Source organism: Homo sapiens, chromosome 9 (assembly GCF_000001405.40).
Source record: "Homo sapiens chromosome 9, GRCh38.p14 Primary Assembly".
NCBI classification, from domain to species: Eukaryota; Metazoa; Chordata; class Mammalia; order Primates; family Hominidae; genus Homo; species Homo sapiens.
Window position 1 is genome coordinate 113,385,644 of NC_000009.12, and position 20,686 is coordinate 113,406,329.

The 20,686-nt window shown below is 49.9% G+C and overlaps 1 protein-coding gene across 8 annotated transcripts, besides 3 other annotated features; it reads right to left on the reverse strand.

Annotated features, from left to right (window-relative positions):
* Positions 669-15,641, reverse strand: ALAD (aminolevulinate dehydratase). 8 transcript variants are annotated; one of them, XM_047422944.1, is made up of 14 exons: positions 15,569-15,641; positions 11,403-11,631; positions 9,764-10,812; positions 7,804-7,991; positions 6,476-6,526; positions 5,884-5,980; positions 5,155-5,290; positions 4,950-5,033; positions 4,762-4,850; positions 4,130-4,185; positions 3,956-4,043; positions 3,795-3,881; positions 3,334-3,463; positions 669-2,718 (listed from the first exon to the last, which is right to left on the reverse strand). In XM_047422944.1, exons 3-14 carry the CDS (start codon positions 9,812-9,814, stop codon positions 2,657-2,659), a joined length of 1,119 nt encoding a protein of 372 aa, XP_047278900.1. In that variant the 5' UTR covers positions 9,815-10,812; positions 11,403-11,631; positions 15,569-15,641; the 3' UTR covers positions 669-2,656. The 8 variants fall into 8 exon arrangements, with proteins under 8 accessions (XP_047278900.1, XP_047278901.1, XP_011516666.1 ...); XM_047422945.1 differs by having other exon boundaries at positions 12,435-15,641; XM_011518364.3 differs by lacking the exon at positions 9,764-10,812.
* Positions 14,797-15,377: an enhancer, noted in NCBI's record as "H3K27ac-H3K4me1 hESC enhancer chr9:116162720-116163300 (GRCh37/hg19 assembly coordinates)". NCBI's record gives its function as "activates a minimal SCP1, AML or CMV promoter by ChIP-STARR-seq in naive H9 embryonic stem cells {active_cell/tissue: H9 hESC(naive)}" and the evidence as "EXISTENCE:reporter gene assay evidence [ECO:0000049][PMID:30033119]".
* Positions 15,393-15,442: a silencer, noted in NCBI's record as "silent region_20203". NCBI's record gives its function as "represses an Ori minimal core promoter by ATAC-STARR-seq in GM12878 lymphoblastoid cells {active_cell/tissue: GM12878}" and the evidence as "EXISTENCE:reporter gene assay evidence [ECO:0000049][PMID:35858748]".
* Positions 15,593-15,952: a silencer, noted in NCBI's record as "silent region_20204". NCBI's record gives its function as "represses an Ori minimal core promoter by ATAC-STARR-seq in GM12878 lymphoblastoid cells {active_cell/tissue: GM12878}" and the evidence as "EXISTENCE:reporter gene assay evidence [ECO:0000049][PMID:35858748]".

Below are 20,686 nucleotides of genomic sequence, written 5' to 3' on the forward strand. Positions count from 1 at the left end.
ATTGGGTGTTGGGTCAGGTTTCTCAGAGGAAGGGATGCTTTGAGCTGAGATCTTAACAAGAGAGACAGCCATATAGATTTAGGGGAAAAGCATTCCAAGCCAAGGAGGCCACTGGTGCAAAAGCTCAGTCCAAGACAGCGTTCTGTGTAATGAGGCCTACCTGGTCAATTGTGGCGCCATCTCCCATCCCATTGTTTACAGTGACTGAGCCAAGAGTGGACCATGTGGCCTGAACAGGCCCAATCAGAGACCTCCAGAGATTTGCTATGTGAGTGATGGGACAGGAAGGCTCTTTCTCTGGGATTACAAATCTTAACGACTATTTAAGCCTAGAATTATTGAGGATCATGTTGCTGGCAAGTGGCAAAAACCCACCTGAGTATAAAGCTGGGGCAAACACAGACGAGAGTTAGAAAGGGACAGAGACCTCCATGGGGTTTGACCCTGGGCCCAACCACACCTGTCCTTATCTCAATCCAGTTATGAAAACCAATCATGTCCTTCTTTGCTATTGAACTGGATTTCCATCACTTGCAACCAAGTAGGTGCCTGGTCTCCTTGGTCTCCCCGTATAACTGGGGCTAATTGCAGATGGTCCCCGAACTGTGATCATTCAATTCACAATTTTTGACTTTACAACAGTATGAAACAAGACATTCAGTAGAAACTGTACTTCAAATATTGAATTTTTATTCAAAATTCTTTACAACTTTATTACAATATAGATTTTGTGTTGGATAGTTTTGCCCACTGTAGGCTAATGTAAGTGTTCTGAGCATGTTTAAGGCAGGCTAGGCTAAGCTATGATGTTTGGTAGGTTAGGTATATTAAATACATTTTTGACTTATGATCATATTTTCAACTTATGATCATATTTTCAACTTATGATGGGTTTATCAGGATGCAAACCCATCACATAAATGGAGGGGTGTCTATAAAACATTGTTAGACCTATAATTTTGCTGTTGATTATTGGGAGGTGGTATGGCACAGTGGTTAGGGGCAGAGGCCTTGGAGTTGGACTACATGGGTTCAAATCCCAGCTTGGCTGTTTTCTGTGCAGTTCTAATCCAGTTCTGCCACAAACTTGTTGAGTGGCCTTAGGTGAGTCACATAAGCACTCTAGATATAGCTTCCTTATTGCAAAATGTCTCAAGCTAAGTTTAGTATTCTCCCTCCACCCCGACCCTGCTTCTGTTCCTCTTCCAGGCTGCCCCATCTCAGTAAATGGCCCATCAGCCACCCAGAAGGTCAAGCCAGATTCATCCTTCACATCGAATCTACCTTCTAAACACATCCACAATCCATTCCCCTTTCTCCATCCCCACTGTCCCCGCTCCAGTCCATGCCATCAAGACTTTTCATTTGCACTTTGCCGCAGAGCTGTTAAAATACTTTTACAAACTACAAATTTGATTGAGTCACTCTGAAAAGGTGAATGTGGCCCTTGACCTCTGCATGGTTTGGTCCTGGTCTGTCTCTCTCCACTCAGTTCAGGCCATCCTCTCAGTGCTCCAGACAAGCTAGCCTTGCATTCCTCCAGCTAGAAGGAGCCCCAGGGCCTTTGCACAACTCCTCCCTCTCCCTGGAATGCTCTTCCCCAATTGTCTTAGCTTGATGGCTCACCCTTCAGGTCTAGGCTCAAATGTCAGTCCTTCAGGGAAGTATTTTCTGATCCTTCAAAGAGGTCAGGTCCTGGTGACCTCCTTCAGAGCACCTGTCACCACATCACTGGTGCATGTCTGCCTCCTTCCCAACTACTGTTTCAAGAGAGGCCCCTTCCCTGTTGTTGTCTCAGACCCCTTCTTTCCTTCAAAGCACTTATCACAATTTGTAACTGCTTTATTTCTTTGTTTTCTTCTTAGCTGTCTCCCCAATTCTCTTTGTATAATTTCTATGAAGAGATAAGCTGAGGTCTGTCCTGCTGTATTCCCAGGACCCAGCACTGAACCTAGGAACAGAGCAGAGATTCTCAAAAAGTATCTCCTGAATAAAAAGTGTTTGTGGTGGTGGCACCTCTAGCAGTCAGGAACTCCCTCTTTGCCTCTGAGTTTTGATCCTCAGGCAGTATTTATGCTGGTTAATGAGTAATTCTTCTCTGGGTTTATGGTTCAGAGTAGAATAGGAGACCTCAGGCAGCCTGGCAACCTCTGGCCTCGTGGGAAATGCCTTCCAGTGGAATTGCGGCAAATTTCAACTCTAACCCAGGGATATCGATCTAGGCCTCATTCCCACACCCAGCTCTGCTGCCAGAAGCGTTCCAAGGCTTCTCAGGCCCCAAGATCCCACTGCTCTCTTCTTCCCCTAATGCTCCAAGACCCTCTCCCAGCCAGGCCCCAAAGGCTGTGCCCCCGACTCCAGGTTGCTTTCAAGCTGAAGCCACACCAGAGGAAAGAGCTGAGGGTGGCAAAGGTGGGCCTCACGGCTGACCCAGGGGAGGGGCGGGGAAGCTTGGGAGAGCTCATAGGATGCAGCTGCGAGTTACAAGAGTTAGCATGCTGGCAAAACCACCCAGGGCTGCTGGGCCCCGCTAGCATGTGAGCAGGAAGAGGGCATGAGGGCACAGTTCTAAAAGCAGCATTTACTTTGGTTTTCACTTGTCTGAGGCCCCGGGAACGTTTTAAAGTTCTAGTTCTTGGGCCTGGCACTGTCTCCATCATTCCTCCTTCAGCCACTGCAGCAGCTGCGGTGTGTAGTAGGTGATGATGATGTCAGCACCTGTGTTGGGAGAGATGCAGAAAGTTGCTGGGGGGACGCTGATCAGCTCTGAGCACACCTTCTGCGATGGGAAGGCCAGGCGGGGAAGAAGGCTACCATGAAGAAGCACAGCCTGTGGGCACACCACATGAGACGGAGCCCAGCTTTGGGAAACTCTATTTCTTGGGCAAGTCATTTCCTCTTTTGGGGCCTCAGTTTACCAAAGAATAAAATGCACAGTGAAGGAAATAGGTAAGAGGCAAGTTCCTTCCCATGCTGGTGTGCAATTCTAACAAAATGAGTCCCCTTTATGGAGTGATATTACTTCATTTAATCCTCAGGACAACCACGCACCAGGTATCTTATCCCCAGTTATCCAGTTATGGGTGAGGACACTGAGGTTCAGAGAAGTGGCTTGCCCACGTTCTCACAACCAAAAATGAAGGGCTCTGCTTGCTTCACCGGGCCGTGTTCTATGCTGCAGTTCCATATCTCTTCCTCAGTGTGTGTCTGTTTAGATCACTAGTAATTCCCGGAATAAGATCCCAAGCTCTCAGGACGTCGTTCCCCAATCTAGGCAGAGTGCTTATCAGTCCCTGTGGCGCAGGTCAAAACACCCCACCCTTGCCTGCCTACCTGCTCTGCGGAAGGCAGTCATGGCCTCCAGTACGGCAGCCTTGAGATCAAATGCCCCGGCCTGGGCTCCATGCCACAGCATGGCAAACTCTCCAGAGACGTGGTACACGGCGAGAGGGAGGTCAGGGTGCTGCAGGGAAGCAGACAGGGAGACAGGCTGAAATGGAGGGTGGATGTGGCTCTGGAAGCGTCCCTTCCCCCCTGCTCAATCTGTGACCATCTTGAGCCCCGTGTCCTGGGTTACTGCGGCTGGCAGCCTGGCCCACTCTTGAACTGTTAAAGCAGGGCTGTTTGAGGCTCGTGCAAGCCCCGACATAGAAGGCCACGATGGTTCCTGGGCAGGGAAGGGGAGGAGAGGATGCATGCTTAAGGGCAAACTGCTTCCAACTCTGAGATTCCAGAGTCTGTGGAAAACTCTGTCCCAGCCCCCTGAGCCCCCTTTGCCTCGTACCTGTGCTCACCTTGTCCTTTACCTCCCGCACGATGTCCAGGTAGGGCATTCCCGGCTTCACCATGAGCATGTCAGCTCCTTCCCGTACATCCCGGTCCTAAGGGATGAGGGTATAATGTGGGTGGTGCCTAGGAGGGGGCTGAGGGTGGGGCTCAAGTCCTAGTCACTCACCACAGCTCGGAGAGCCAGGCCTCGTGCTCCAGGGGGCAGCTGGTAGCAGCGGCGGTCCCCAAAAGCTGGGCTTGACTTAGCTGCATCCCTGCAAAGCAGAGTCATCAGGGTGGGCTCCAGCTTTGGGCCAAAGGGCCAGGGATTCACAGCAGACCCCTGCCCACCCCTGCTCACCGGAAAGGGCCATAGAAACAGGAAGCAAATTTGGCACTGTAGCTCATCACCGATACCTATGGGGAGACAATGGAGGTCTTGGCTTATTCGGCCCTTGCCAGGTATCCCAGGGTGATGTGGCAGGGAGAGAAAGAACCTAGGCTGGGAAGGAGACTGCCTGTGTTCTGGTCCTGTTGGAGTGCTGGGCTTGATTTCCCTGCAGAGGCCCAGAGGTTTAAATGGTTCCCCAAAGCCTCATCCAGCACTGTCTTCAGTTCTGTGATTCTTTTTTTTTTTGAGATGGAGTCTAGCTCTGTCATCCAGGCTGAAGTGCAGTGGCATGATCTCAGCTCACTGCCTCGTGGGTTCAAGCGATTCTCCTGCCTCAGCCTCCCCAGTAGCTGGGATTACAGGCGCCTGCCACCACGCCCAGCTAATTTTTGTGTTTTTAGTAGAGATGGGGTTTCACCATGTTGGCCAGGCTGGTCTTGAACCCCTGACCTCAAGTGATCTACCTGCCTCAGCCTCCCAAAGTGCTGGGACTACAGGTGTGAGCCAACACGCCCGGCAGTTCTGTGATTCTTAGCAGACACGGGGGCAGGGCTGGTGCAGACTATCTCCTGCCAGCCCTGTGCTGCATTCCCTGCCCTTACCCTGTTGCCAAGTCCATGTGCCATCAGGGCCTCTTTGATGGCTTCCACGCGTCCATCCATCATGTCCGACGGGGCTACCACCTGACATCCTGGGGGGCAGAGGGTGGCCTTCAGAACTCTGGGGCCCTCCTAGCCACTCTGCCACCTCCTGACCCAGAGGTGCCCATCCCTGCTGGTGGTTCACTCACCTGCCTTGGCATACGCCAATGCCACCTCAGCCAGCCGCTGGCGGCTCTCCTCAGCCCGGAATGCTCCGTTTTCACTCAGGAGCCCTTCAGGACAGATGACTGGGTTTTGGGGAGCACCTTGGGCCCTGGCCTGTCCCCACCCTGTTGAGAAGTGGGCAGTAGGAGTGTGGGTGGCAGCAGGGCTGGTGGGAGGGAGGGAACTCACCGCAGTGACCATGGGAGGTGTAGGGACACAGGCAGACATCACAGGCCACCAGGAGGTTGGGGAAGGTCTTCCTCAACAGATGGATTGCCTCAATAGCTGGGGACTCCTCGGAGTCAGCTGCGGAACCCCGCTCGTCCTAGGGGCAGGGGAGGGACAAAGCAGTGTGTCTATTACATGTAGCTTTGGAAGGCAGGATGACAGCCATCACAGAGCATAGCCCTGGCCTTCTCCTTCCTTCATCATCACAGCCCCTGGATAAGGAAGCACAGAGGACTGACCCTACATGGGTGCTGACTTAAGGGCAAAGACCACGTCCATTCACCTGTGGCCCCAGGGCCAGCACAATGTGGGAGTGAGGGTGCAGTCAGTGTGGACCCTCAGTCCACCTTTGCCCAACCTCCCTTCCTTTTTCTGTTTGTATTGGAGACAGGGTCTTGCTCTGTCACCCAGGCTAGAGTGCACTGGCGCGATTTTGGCTCACTGCAGCCTCGACTTTCTGGGCTCAAGCAATCCTCCCACCTCTCCACCTCCCGAGTAGCTGGGACTACAGGCACATACCCCCACACCCAGCTAACTTTTGTATTTTTTGTAGAGATGGGTTTTGCCATGTTGTCCAGGCTGGTCTCAAAATCCTGGGCTCAAGTGATCCACCCACTTTGGCCTCCCAAAGTGCTGGGATTACGGGCGTGAGCGCAACCTCCCTTCTTAGCCCTTCCTTTGATTCTTCACCTTGGGAACTCTGCTGGGGACGCCAAAGATCAAGACACAGCGTAGGCCCTCTTCCACCAAGGGCCTCAGCATCTCTTCCAGCCGCTTCACACCATACCTGTGTGGGTGTGGGTAGAGGGGTTGAAGGAAGGCAGGTCCCAGGCAACGGTCCTCCGGACCCCACCACACTGTGTGCCTCTGTTAGAAACCAAGCTGCATATGGCACCAGGAGGGCTCAAGCCCCCAGGACAGAAGGGGCAGGGATGCATCCACTAAATAGGAGGGAAGACTGAGGCCCTGAGTAGCAGAGCTCCGGAATTCGGCTGTGGAAGGCTCCTTCGAGGCCCTCTTTTTGAACTCCCATCTGCAGTTCAGCTCCCTTCTGCAACAGCCTCTGCCACGACGTCTCGGGTGATGGGTAGCTCTTTACTTTATGGGGCTGCCCCTTCCACTGTGGAACAGCTCTGGCCCCGGGGAAACCCTTTCCTCTACTGAGCTAATGTCTGTCTGTCCGCATCTTCTACTTCCTAGGTCTGCTTCTGCCTCCCAGCACTTCCACCTGTGGAATCTCTCCCTCCACCACCCGCTGGCCCCCCAACTCCACGTCTCCTACCTGGCCACTCCTGGGAGGCTGGTGATAGGCTGTATGTCATCAGGAACATCCCTGCAAGAGCGGGGGTGGGATATGGATTGGTAGCTGTGGGAAGGGCCAGTGGTGCGGGGGCGACTGAGAGGGATGGTTGGGAAGCAGGAAAGAAATATGGAAGTGGAGATGGTGGGAGGAGGATGGGATCCAGTGTCTGGCTTCCCTGCCTGGCCAAGCCCAGGGCCTGAAATAATAATAGGAACAACAAGAATAACAGTGACAACACTAGCAACTGTACTAAAAGAACGGTAATTACAGGAAGGAATTAAGTGGTTAAGAACTTGGACTCTGAATTTGGCAGGTCCTTGCTTTCTATCCCAGCCACTTACTGCCTGGGTGACCGTGGCCAAGTTCTATCATCTCTTTGAGCCTTAGGCCTTCATCTATATCATGCGTGGTTAATTCATTCATTCAACAAATATTTATTGAGTACTTATTATGTGCCAAGTACTGTTCTAGGCCCTGATGATACAACAGTGAACAAAATAGACAAACATCCCTGCCCTCATGGAGCTGATGTTCTAGAGGATAGCTACTCCTTCTTCATACAAATGCTCTCAGAATTGAATGAGATAATGTGTGTAGGTGCTTAGCATAGTACCTGGTAGATAGTAAGTACTCAGTAAATGTCTGCATTATTATTAACAATCACGATTGCCATCTCTTTTTTTTTTTTTTTTTTTTGAGATGGAGTCTGGCTCCGTCGCCCAGGCTGGAGTGAAGTGGTGCAATCTCGGCTCACTGCAAGCTCCGCCTCCCGGGTTCACGCCATTCTCCTGCCTCAGCCTCCCAAGTAGCTGGGACTACAGGCACCCGCCACCACGCCTGGCTAATTTCTTTGTGTTTTTAGTAGAGACAGGGTTTCACCATATTAGCCAGGATGGTCTCGATCTCCTGACCTCGTGATCCGCCTGCCTCAGCCTCCCAAAGTGCTGGGATTACAGGCGTGAGCCACCGTGCCCAGCCTCAATGACTGCCATCTCTTACAGGTACATAGCACTTTACAATGTACAGAGCACCTTCTCAGCTTCTGTCTTACTGCAAGAGCTCAGGATGGCAGGCAAGGGTTATTCTTCTAATTTTCCAAATGGGATGAATGAGTTCTTTCAAAGTTTGTTTTGTTCCTAAGATTCCTGTCCTTAATCCAAGTAGCCTGCTTCCAGTGCCTTGAATTTCAAGCTGACAGCTCACTTTGCCACCCCCAGCCATACTGATGCCCGCTCCAGTCAACACTCCCTCCCCAACCCCAACCCCAACCAGCAGAGCAGAGGCCTGGCCCATTCTTGGAGACTCACGTGACAAAGATGGGGTAGATGAGGTTGGAGGCATTGAGGGTGGTGGTGGCTGTCTGCCAGGCCCGAAGTAGTGGGTGGAAGTAGCCGCTGTGCAGAACGGACTGGGGCTGCATGGCGTGGGCCAGTGGGCACAGGGGCATCAGTTGGTTGGAACCGAGGGCTCCTGGGGCATTGGCTGCAGGCTCTGTCTGTGGGGGGTGATGGGTGGCACATGAGACATGGTCCCTGTCCTCAGGAGATGGTCACATCTGGAAAACAGCTCTTCTAGATTCCTGCCTCCCCTCTCTCTAGCCCAATGCTACTCACAGCATGGTTCACCAATCCCTGCTGGTCAACAAGGTAAGTTGAGAAATGAAAGTAAGTCTTTAGAAACTTTCATGACAATCAGAATCTAATGATATAAAATTTGGGCTTGTATTTTATGTGACTGCTTCTTGTTCATTATTATCTTTTAAAGTAAACATCTGAGCAAGCAATGACTGTTTAAAAAAAATTCTCTTCTTTTTTTTTTTTTCACACAGGGTCTCTGTCGCCCAGGCTGGAGTGCAGTGGTGCAATCTCGACTCACTGCAGCCTTGACCTCCCGGGCTCAACTGTTTCTCCCAACTCAGCCTCCCAAGTAGCTGGGACTGCAGGTGTGCACCACAACATCCAGCTAATTTTCGAATTTTTTGTAGAGATGGAGGTCTTGCCATGCTTCCCAGGATGGTCTCGAACTCCTGGGCTCAAGCAATCTGCCTGCCTCAGCCTCCCAAAGTGCCGGGATTACAGGCGTGAGCCACGGTGCCTAGCCAAAAAAGTAATTTTCTAGCTGGGCATGGTGGCTCACGCCTGTAATCCCGGCACTTTGGGAGGCTGAGGTGGCAGGATGGCTTGAGCCCAAGAGTTCGAGACCAGCCTGGGCAACATGGCGAGACCCTGTATCTACAAAAAGTTTAAAAATCAGCCAGGTGTGGTGGTCCACACCTGTAGTCCCAGCTACTCAGGAGGCTAAAGCAAGAGGATCGCTTGAGCCCAGGAGTTCAAGGTTGCAGTAAGCTATGATTGCACCACTGCACTCCAGCCTGGGTGAGAGAGGGAGACGTCTCTAAAAAAAAATAATAATTTTATTGCATTGCATTTTATCAAAGAATCAATAAATTGGAAATAGAAAAAAAAGAACTAATCCTTCCTTATGCATAAAGAAGCACTGATCTAGCCAACATTTAAACTTTGTTTATTCCACAAAAAATGCCCGTGTTCATGGCAGAACTTTTAGAAAAGTGCAGATAAGCAAAAAGAGAAAAATCCCCTGCAATTCTACCTCTAGAGAAAAGTACTGTTGGCCGGGCATGGCGGCTCACACCTATAATCTCAGCACTTTGGGAGGCTGAGATGGGCAGATCACTTGAGGTCAGGAGTTCGAGACCAGCCTGGCCAACACAGTTAAACCCCACCTCTACTAAAAATACAAAAAAAATTAGCTGGGCGTGGTGGTGCGTGCCTGTAATCCCAGCTACTGGGGAGGCTGAGGCAGGAGAACTGCTTGAATCCAGGAGGAGGAGGTTGCAGTAAGCCGAGATAGCGCCACTTCACTCCAGCCTGGGCGACAGAGCAAGACTTCATTCCAAAAAAAAAAAGAAAGAAAGAAAAGAGAAAAGTACTTGGGACATGGATTTTTTGTTAGGTACAATGCACACCAATAGGAGAAAATAGTACCATTCATGTTAGATAGACAGACAGACACATACACTGTATAGAGTGCCACCAAATCTTTTCTAGCCCAAGGAGTTTCCTGGGCTCCACGAGCACAAGCTACACCTTCTTGCTTTCCTAACCTTGTCCCTTTACCTGAAAGGCTGTGCTCTCCCCACAGCCTCCCCGCACCCAAATCTACAGGGTTCTCCTTCCCTCTCCCACTGAGGCTGTCTTGTCCAGATTGCAGTCTCTCTTATGTAAGTTATCTGTGGACCTGTCTTACCTCATGCCAGTAGACAGAGCTTCTGCAGGGCAAGGTCCAGAGTTGGTTCATTTTTGCCTCCCCTACAGTGCTCTGTCACACACTGACCTTGGCACACAGTAAATATTTAATTACGTGAAGTACAAAAATATGCTCCAAATGCCAAATTAGTGGACACAAGACAGAAGGAAGCTGGGGCATTAACATTTGTTTCTTGAGCACCTACTGTGTGCCAGACCATGCCTGGCATTTTCACAGGTGATTTCTCATCAAGTGGGCACTACAGTCCTGGCAGGCAGGGCTGATTGAGTGCATGGAGCCTGACCAGAAGTGAGCCATGGCTCCAATGGGAGTGAGGAGGTCAGAAGAGGCATATTAGAAGAAGACAGGCGCCAGGCGTAGTGGCTCACACCTGTAACCCCAGCACTTTGGGAGGCTGAGGCGGGTGGATCACTTGAGGTCTGGAGTTTGAGACCAGGCTGGCCAATGTGGTGAAACTCCGTCTCTACTAAAAATACAAAAATTAGGCCAGGCACGGTGGCTCACGCCTGTAATCCCAGCACTTTGGGAGGCCGAGGTGGGTGGATCACTTGAGGTCAGGAGTTTGAGACCAGCCTGACCAACATGGTGAAACCCCATCTCTACTAAAAATAAAAAAAAATTAGCCGGGTGTGGTGGCACATGCCTGTAATCCCAGCTACTTCAGAAGCTGAGATAGGAGAATCCTTTGAACTTGGGAGGCGGAGGTTGCAATGAGCCGAGATCGTGCCATTGCACTCCAGCATGGGCAACAAGAGAGAAACTCCATCTCACAATAAATAAATAAATAGAAATAAAAATAAAAATACAAAAATTAGCTGGGTGTGGTGGTGTGCACCTGTAGTCAGAGTTCCTCTGGAGGCTGAGGCAGAAGAATCGATTGAACCTAGGAGGCAGAGGTTGCAGTGAGCCGAGAGTGCACCCATTGCACTCTAGCCTGGGCGACAGTGTGAGACTCCATCTCAAAAAAAAAAAAAAAAAAGAAAATGACAGGGCGTTGAACTTGGTTTTGCAGGATGAGTGGGTTCAGCCTGGTGGAGAGAAGGGGGCCAATATTTCCTTAGGAAGGGAAGAAAGGGGCAAAGGTGGGGAAGGAGGATGGCTGTGGACTGTTTTGAGGAGCTGAGGCAAGTGTGTATGGAGGGGATGGATAAGAGGGGGCCAGGCTGAGGCTGTGGGAAGATTTCTGAGCAGTGGGTAGGGTTAGTGGCCTGGTTGACACCTGGCTTTGGGAAGATCAATCCTGCAGGCTGAGCAGAGCAGACAGGAAGCAGAGGAATGCAGAGGCTGGGGAGGCTGCGGGCAGAGAAGGAAGGGGCGTCTTAAGGCAGCCAACAGGCAGTGTCTCAGGGCGGATGCTCTAGGCCTGCCTGCCTGCCTGATCTAAAGGGCAGCGGAGACAGGGACAGGGCAGGAAGAGGGCAGTGGGGAGCTGGGCTTGGAGAGGAGGTGGAGAGCTCTGTTTTAGACACTTCCTTTTGGAGGTGCCTGGGAGACTATCCCATAGCCAAAGGATGGGGAGGGGCGGGGAAGAGCCACAAAAATGGGGGCTGGCAGGCCTGAGTCCAACTGCTTTTTGTATGAATGGGACCTCAAGGTCCAGAGAGGGGCAAGGACTTACCCAAAGCCACACAGCGAGCAAAAGGACTAGAACCCTGGTGTGTTAACTCCCAGGTGAACTGGGAGATCCTTTGGTAGGTTGGAGTCAAGTCAGATGTCGAAGCCAGGTCTAATCCCTCTAATTTGCTTCCCAGAAAACCACCTTTGTAACAGGTCCTTGGCTTCTGGAATCCAAAGCTGCATTCCCGTGGCCTCAACTCCTCATTGCTTTCAGGAGGCTGAGGGAACAACTGCCTCCTGCTTATCAGAAACAGTGGGGCAGGGCTGCCTAGGAACTGGCTGCCCTTCTCCCCATAGTCTCTTAGGCCCCTTTAGCTGCCTTCAGCCATCTCAGGGGCCCATTTTATCCAGTCTTCCTCCTTGGTAGGGTGGGGTTATCACAAGTCACACAGGGGCCAGCCCTGCTGCCACACCCCTGGGTGGGCCAGCCCCATCACCTAACACAGGGGCAGGCCAGGCCTCCCCAGTCATGTCTCAACCTCCAAACAGACAATTATTCAGTAGATATGAGGTCCCAGCTGCCCATTTCGTACTCGATTTTGCTCTCATGTCTGCCAGGAGTTTTTTTTCCTTTTCTTTTTTTTTTTTTTTTTTTTTTGAGACAGAGTCTGGCTCTGTCACCCAAGCTGGAGTGCAGTGGTTCGATCTCGGCTCACTGCAACCTCCACCTCCTGGGTTCAAGTGATTCTCCTGCCTCAGCCTCCCAAATAGATGGGACTACAGGCATGCATGACCATGCTTGGCTAATTTTTGTATTTTTAGTAGAGACAGGGTTTCGCCATGTTGGCCAGGCTGGTCTCAAACTCCTGACTTCAAGTGATCCGCCCGCCTCTGCCTCCCAAAGTGCTGGGATTACAGGCGTGAGCCACCGCACCTGGCCGAGAGAATATTTTTGCATATTGAGAGAATTACCAAAATGTAAGCCAGTTGCCCAAGACCACATAGCTACTTAGTGACTGAGCCAGAATTTGAATTTGTTCTGGACTCCAAATGCTGGGTTTTATATACTGTATTTCATAATACTGATAAACACCTGATTCAGTAGGCGTCTCTCTGCCCATACTGTTTCTGCTTTGGGTGCTGGAGAGACAGAAGAAACAAAAGAAAAACATACTGAGTGTATTCGTTCTGTGCTGGGCACAGCACTGAAGTACTTGGTAGTAGTATCTCATTTCATTGCAAGAATTGTCCTAACTTTTAGTGATAAGGAAACAGAGGCTCTGAGCGGTTCAGTGACTTGCTTAATGCCATTCTAGAGTCTAGTCAGATGTTGAAGAGAGGTCTAATCTCTCTGACTCACTTCCCACAAACAATCTCTGTTGTTTTCTGGCTTCTGAATCCAAAGCTGCATTCCACTGGCCTCAACTCCCCATCGCTTTTAGGAGGCTGAGGGAACAACTGGCTCCTGCTTAGCAGAAACCCTGGGGCAGGACTGCCTAGGAGCCTGAGACCGGGGCAGGGTTAGAGTAAAGGGAACAGTCTCACTACAGCAGTCCACTTTGATCTGTTTTTGAATTTTAAGATTCAGAGACAGATTTGATTTGAGAAACGGCTGTCAGTGCTGAAAATATTAAAAGCTTGAAAATTGCCAATCCTGTTTAATCCCTTACACTTTAATGTGGAAAATGGGGTATAAAGAGGCAACGGGACTTTTGGAGATCACAGTGAGTGACATACAGAGCTATAAACTGACCCTGCAGCTCCTGGCTTCTATTTCAGTGCCCTGATACCTACACCATAGAGTCATTCCATTGTAAGAGGTACTTAATAAGTGGAGTTTCCCACTCCATTCTGTGAGTGGGAAAACACCCCCTGAATCACATATTGGCAGAGCCAAATGCAGGGTGGGTTTTGCTTTGCAAAAAGGCCCTTAGAGTTTGGGAGAATTTCACAGACTGGGAGGGCACTTCTCCCAAATCAAGCGAGCTTGCAAACCACAATTTAAATGCCTGTGACATTACCACACTGAAGACAGGAGCGAGCCGCCAGGAGGTCCAGCACCTCTGCCCAACCACATCAGACAGGTTAGCTTTGCTGGGACGCAGAGTATAGGGCGGTGCAGAAAGATCCATGTTTCAGGGTCAGACAGTCCCAGGTTTGGTCTATGCTCTGCTGTGTAATTTTGGGCAAAGTAATTGACCTTTCAGTGTTCATTTCATAATCTACAAAATAGGCATGATATCTCTAACTTGCAAGGCTGTGGAGATTATTGATAGGGATAAGGTAGGTGTCTGGCACCAAGTAGCTGCACAGTAAACATGTAGCTACTTTTATTACTATTAGGAGTGGGGCTGGGTTGGAACGAGATGTCCTGGCACAGCTCTGTGCCTTCTGCACCTCACCAGATGGGAATATGAGCTCAAACCCTTGTGGGCCACAGGGTTTTCCAAGATTTCTGAAGTGGAGTCCCTGCCTTCCAGCAGGTTATGTGGTGGAGGAAAAACAAAATAATCACCACCGGGCTGCCAGAGTAGAGGGGTGGACCAGGTGCTGTCAGAGGGACTGTGTCTCTGAGTCAAGGGTGGTTTCATGGAAGAGGGGACAGTGAAGGATAAGAAGTGTTTCAGATTTAATATGAAAGTATCTCCTCCCATGGAAGGCAACATCCCCAAACTGGGAGTAACTGAAGTTGGGCCCTGAGCACTGCTACCAGGAGGGGCTATGAGCTTCATGTGCCACCCCCCACCCCTGCAAGTTGTACTATGCTGAGGATTCCAGAGGCTGTGGGTCTTCGCACAGAGGCTTAGGACCTGCTGCCAGCCCTGGCAGGCTCTGCCACTGGCCAGGGAGGAGGCAGTCAGGAGAGCCAGCTAGATAGAAGGTGGCCAGAACTGAGAAATCCAAAGCCCCACAAAGGCCCAGGAGAGCAGCTGTCATGCAGTTCTGAAAAGAGATGAAGTGTTTATTCAGCCAACCCACATTTCTTGAATATCTACTATGGGCCTGCTGAAGTGCTAGACACAGGGATTAAAGAGAAGAATGAGACCCCAGCCTTGCCCTGGGGCTTTGAAGAGCCTGATCGCCTCTGGGGTTAGCCATTTAGACGTAGGAGAAGCTGCCATTCCCAGAATCCTAGAATATCTTGGCTAAGAGTCTTCTTAAAGTTTGCTGATTGTATCACTGAAACAAGGGTGAAACTGGGCTCAGAGAGGGGTAGACACAGGCCCAGGATCACGCAGTGGGTCAGCGGCAGATCTGGGGGAAGGTCTCCAGCAGCCCAGTCCTCAGTGCCCACCATGACACCTCCATACTTTAAGGATAGATATCAAATCTGTTTCCCAGCAGGTTGGGCTTGTGGAGAGCTTTGGGTGAGCCAGACTCTGGGCCTGGCTGCTGTTGGTAGCAGGATGGTTAAGTATGTGGGCTCTGGAGTCTGATAGATGTGGGTACAAATCCTAGTTCTGTAGCTTTCTAGTTGTGTGACCTCAGTTTCTTCGTTTAGTAAATGGGGACTAGAACCGACCTCAATGGGTTGTTGTAAGAAATGAATGGGTCAGGCCGGGCGTGGTGGCTCACGCCTGTAATCCCAGCACTTTGGGAGGCCGAGGTGGGCGAATCACCTGAGCTCGGGAGTTCGAGACTAGCCTGACCAACAGGGAGAAACCCCATCTCTACTAAAAATACAAAAATTAGCAGGCGTGGTGGCACACGCCTGTAATCCCAGCTAGTTGGCAGGCTGAGGCAGGAGAATCGCTTGAACCCGGGAGGCGGAGGTTGCAGTGAGCTGAGATCGCGCCATTGCACTCCAGCCTGGGCAACAAGAGCGAAACTCCGTCTCAAAAATAAATAAATAAATAAAATAAATGAATGGTCAATGCACGCAACGCTTAGTACAAAACGGCTGTTATTGTTTTCACCTCCCTACCCCCCCACCAACCACCACCCGCACCTCGGGTTCTGCATCGATGGAGTCTGCCCAGGCGGTATCCGAGAGGGTGAACCCCAGAGAAGAGGTGCGGAGCCCCGAACCCGGGCCCCCAACCTCGGCTGCAGCGGGATAATCCAGCCCAAACAAACGCTCCACGGGACTCCGTGCACGGCTGCACCGCCAGGGCTTCAGGCGCACAGCACAATCTGGGGACGCAGGACTCTTGGTGCCACAGTCCCCGCCTCGCCCTGGAGCCGCCCTCCAGGCCCGCTATCTCCCCGCATCCAGCCCCCGCTCACCTGCCTCCCTAAGGGCTCCCGGCCGCTGCTCCTGTCACCGCTGTCTCCCGCTCCGGTCTCCCACAGACCGCGTAAGAGCGGGGGGGGCTCACCCGGAAGCAGCTTCCCCACGGTCCGCCCCCTCCACAGTCCAGGCCACGCCCCCTGAAGGCGGTCTTCTGGGGGGCTCCTCCGCTCCAGCCGCGGCCCCGCCCACACGCAACGAGGCCTGGCCAATTGGGTGTGTCGAGGGCCTGGAGGGCCCGCCCGTCCCCGCTCCGGGCCCTGCGCTTGTGCAGCGAACTGCAGGAGGGAGGCCACGAGGGGGCGCAGGAACCGCTTGGGAGGGTCCCTGGGTGTGAGCCGGCCTCGGAGGCGGTTACAGCCCAGGTTTCACTTCACAGCATTCCTTTGCCCAGCCTAGGGCAAACTTGGCTCTGGTTAATGGCTTGGTGAAAGAATAATTGGATGTCAAAGCCGTTAAAACAGCACCATTATGCCTAACACAGTATTAGCTAAGTCCATTTTTGCGGACTAAGCTAAAGTTGTTGAGTTCAGCGCCAGGCTTCCAAGTTTTCAGAGAAAATTTGTACCAGCTTCATTTATTTCTCAGGGTACGGCAATGCTATGAGTTGAGAGATGTGATGTGAAAGACATGGGCGTTTAGGAAAACTCCAAGTCTTGATAGGGGCATCAGACCTATGATAGGTACAATGATAGATCCGATCAAAGGTCTTTATGGAGATTGGAGATGTGCAGAGGCAAGAGGGATCTGGTGAGGCTTATGGGGCCTGGGTAAACCAGTAGGATTGGATGAGTAAAATGGCGATCGGGCATCATCGCCCTAGCGAAGCAATGCCTTTCAGGTGGTTCTTCAGGGATTATTGAAAAGTTGACTTTCAAATGTAGAGGACACTAGTGGGTTACATTACACTTATTCTCAGATTTTATTTCTCAGCCCGGTTCGGTGGCTCACGCCTGTAATCCCAGCACTTTGGGAGGCCAAGGCGGGCGGATCTCTTGAGGTCAGGAGTTCAAGACCAGCCTGACCAACATGGTGAAACCCTGTCTCTACTAAAAATACAAAAAATTAGCCGGGCGTGGTGGCGGGCTCCTGTAATCCCAGCTACTCGGGAGGCTGAGGCAGGAGAATCGCTTGAACCCGGGAGGCGGAGGTTGTAATGGGCTGAGATCATGCCACTGCATTCCAGCCTGGGTGACAGAGGGAGACTCTGTCTCAAAAAAAAATTTTTTTTTAAATTTCTCAAAATCTGTACCCCAAACCTGTTGTATACTTTATATTTTAAATTTAAGGGGCCTAGCGGCGTAAGGCTAGGGAAATATGACACTGCTTAGTTTCCAGCTACTGGAGTTCTGATCTGTATTCAACAAGGAAGGGGATAGAAAGCAAATAATGTTTGCTGTGCATTAAAGAGTCAGGGACAGTACCATGCATTTTACATTCATTTATCTAATCTTGACAGCAACGATGTTACTATTCTCACTTTACGGATTGGGAAAACAATTGCCAGCTAGATTAAATAATTTGCCCCATGTTACACTGGGCTCTCTCTGCAATGCCTGCTAATAACCACACTCCATAGGGGCAATTATTATTTGTTTTTTCCTAGATTCCCTGCCCGACATTTCTTTCCTGACACTCATTCCTTCCCTGAGGTTATTGGTAACTAAAAATAATTAGAACCATCTAAGAACCCAAATAGAACGGGAAATTTTAAAATGTTGCTGTTTGGTGTAGCTTATTTCCCCCATGTCTTTTCTTCTTCTTGACTGAAAGACCTGTTCCCACTCTCCCCCCAGCCTCCACCTTTTGAAACATTTTACCTTAATCTTTCAGTATTGTGAATGCAATAATATGAATAAATCTTAAACATATTGTTGAGTAAAAGAAGTGAGACACAAAATAGTATATAATATGATTTCATTTATATTAACTACACAATCAAGCAAAATTAAGCTGTGTTGTTAGGACTCAGAATAGTGATTTCCACTGGGGAGATGGGGAGGATTGAAAGGGAGATTAGGCTGGGTGTGGTGGCTCACACCTGTAATCCTAGCACTTTGGGAGGCCAAGGCTGGTGGATCGCTTGAGCCCAGGAGTTCAAGACCAACCTTGGCAACATGGCGAAACAGTCTCTACAAAAATTACAAAAAGTAGCTGGGCATGGTGGTGGACACCTGTAGTCCCAGCTACTTGGGAGGCTGACATGGGAGGATTGCTTGAGCCTGGGAGGTCAAGGCTGCGGTAAGCTGTGATCGTACCACTGCACTCCAGCCTGGATGACAGAGCAAGACCCTGTCTCCAGAAAAAAAAAAAAAAAAAAAAAAAAAAAAGGCGGCAGGGGGAGACTAAAGAGGTTTCTTTGGATGCAGTTAATGTTTATTGGTCTGGGTGTGAGTTACATGGCTGTGTTTAATTCGTGAAAATTCATTAAGCTCCACACTTATTTGTGTCTTTTAGTATGTATATTTCGTTTCAATAAAAAGTTAAAACTAAACTATTCTGAGTGTCTTCTAGGTAGGTATATGGCATTGTGCTAAATGCTGTGAAAAGCATAAAAAAGGAACAAGAAAGAAAGCAGACTGCTGATTGCCAGGGCCTGAGGAAAATGTTTTGAAACTAGATAGAGGTAGTGGTTGCACAACATTGTGACTGTTCTAAATGCCACTGAACTGCTCATTTAAAAATGGTTAATTCTATGTTCTTTGAATTTCATCTCAGTCTTAAAAAGTGAGTTCACTAGATGCAATGTGGTATTCTGGGTTGGCCCCTGTAATCGAAAAAGGACATAAGTAGAGAAACTGTTGAAATATAAAAAGCTTATTAAAAAAAAACGGGGCAAGGCCAAAGGTCATTGGAACAGAATCCCAGTTTTCATAAATTCTTGGTAAGATCTTGAGCAAGTCACTTCTCTCTGAAGAACCTCAATTTCCTATCAGTAAAAATAGGAGGTTAGGCTGCAAAAGTAGCTTTGAATGGGTTGGGACGAGAACCCTCCCACCTCCCGAATCCAAATCAGAATCTCTGGGCATGAAGGGCCATGGTAAAAAAGTGAAACATTACCTTAGCCTAGTAAGGAACTTCAAAAGTCCAGATACCACTGCAGTAATGATAGAAGTGTGGTGGGGGGAATACTGGTGGATGATGTCAAAAATTTTTACCAGTTGTTAAATTCTGTAGTTTTTTTTTTTTTGAGACAGAGTCTTGCTCTGTCACACAGGCTGGGGTGCAGTGGCGCAGTCTCAGCTCACTGCAACCTCTGCCTCCTGGGTTCAAGCGATTCTCCTGCCTCAGCCTCCCAAGTAGCTGGGACTACAGGCTACCATGCCCGGCTAATTTTTGTATTTTTAGTACAGAAGGGGTTCCCCATATTGGCCAGGCTGGTCTCGAACTCCTGACCTCGTGATGAGCCTGCCTTGGCCTCCCAAAGTGCTGGGATTACAGGTGTGAGCCACCGCGCCCGGCCAAATTCTGTAGTTTCAAAGTAATAGTCCCTATTTTCAGGAAACATGTTTTTCTTAGGTAGTCCAAGTTTGGTGATGAATGGGGCAGAATTAACTAAAGCCATATGGAAGAGTTCTTTTGGGGATTCACCGTTGACTAGAGCACATAGCCTTGTTAGAGAGTGGCAGGTTAAAATAGGTAGCAGGGTGAGCCCTTCTCATGCAGGCTTTGAATAATAGGTTTAAGTATAGATTTGATTTAATAGGAAACAAGGAGGGTCTGTAACCCAGCAATGCTCCAGGAAGATCCACGTGCCAAGTAATCCACAGAGGAGACTAGGGGAAGTGGAGATGAGGCAGGGGACTGAGCTTAAAGGAAGCCACAGAAGTTGAGTAGTGCTCATGGGAATTAAGAAAGGATGTTTCTACTGTGAAGGAAAAAGCTATTAGATCTAATGAGTATTGGGGGTTGTATCTTTGTGAAATGTTATTTATAAATTTATGATTTGAAGAAGCTATGTAGATTATGTAGATTTGGCCAGGCACGGTGGCTCATACCTATAATCCCAGCACTTTGGGAGTCAGAGCCGGGCGGATCACTTGAGGTCAGGAGTTCGTGACCAGCCTGGCCAACATGGTGAAATCCTGTCTGTACTAAAAATACAAAAATCAGCCAGGTGTGGTGGCGCAGGCCTGTAATCGCAGCTATTCAGGAGGCTGAGGCAGGAGAATCTCTTGAACCCAGGAGGCGGAGGTTGTAGTGAGCCGAGATGGCACCACTGCCCTCTAGCATGGGCGACAGAGCAAAAGTCCTTCTCAAAAAAAAAAAAAAAAAAAGGAACGCCTGTAATCCTAGCACTCTGGGAGGCTGAGGCAGGCGGATCACCTGAGGTCAGGAGTTCGAGACCAAGACCAGCCCGGCCGATGTGGTGAAACCCCATCTCTACTAAAAATAAAATTAGCTGGACGTGGTGGCCGGTACCTGTAATCCCAGCTACTAGGGAGGCTGAGGCAGGAGAATTACTTGAACCGGGGAGGCAGAGGCTGCAGTGAGACAAGATCACGCCACTGTACTCCAGCCTGGGTGACAGAGCGAGGCTCTGTCTCAAAATAAAAAAGAAAAAGCTATGTAGATTAGATAGGTGATATAGCATTGTGGTAAAGAGATAATAAAGGTAACAGCAGTGCTGCTTCATAGGGTTTAAGAGTTAATACTTAGGGCTGGGTGTGGTGGCTTATGCCTGTAATCCCAGTATTTTGGGAGGCCAAGGCAGGAGGATTGCTCGAGCCCAGGAGTTGGAGACTGGCCTGGGTAACACAGACCCTGTCTCAAATTAAAAAAAAAAAAAATTAAGGCCGGGCGTGGTGGCTCACACCTGTAATCCCAGCACTTTGGGAGCCTGAGGCGGGTGTATCACGAGATCAAGAGATTGAGACCATCCTGGTCAACATAGTGAAACCCCATCTCCACTAAAAATACAAAAATTAGCTGGGTGTGGTGGCGTGCGCGGCTGTAGTCCCAGCTACTTGGGAGGCTGAGGCAGGAGAATCACTTGAACCAGGGAGGTGGAGGTTGTAGAGAGCCGAGATTGTGCCACTGCACTCCAGCCTGGTGACAGAGTGAGACTCTGTCTCAAAAAATAAATAAATAAAAATAAAAAAGGGTTAATACTT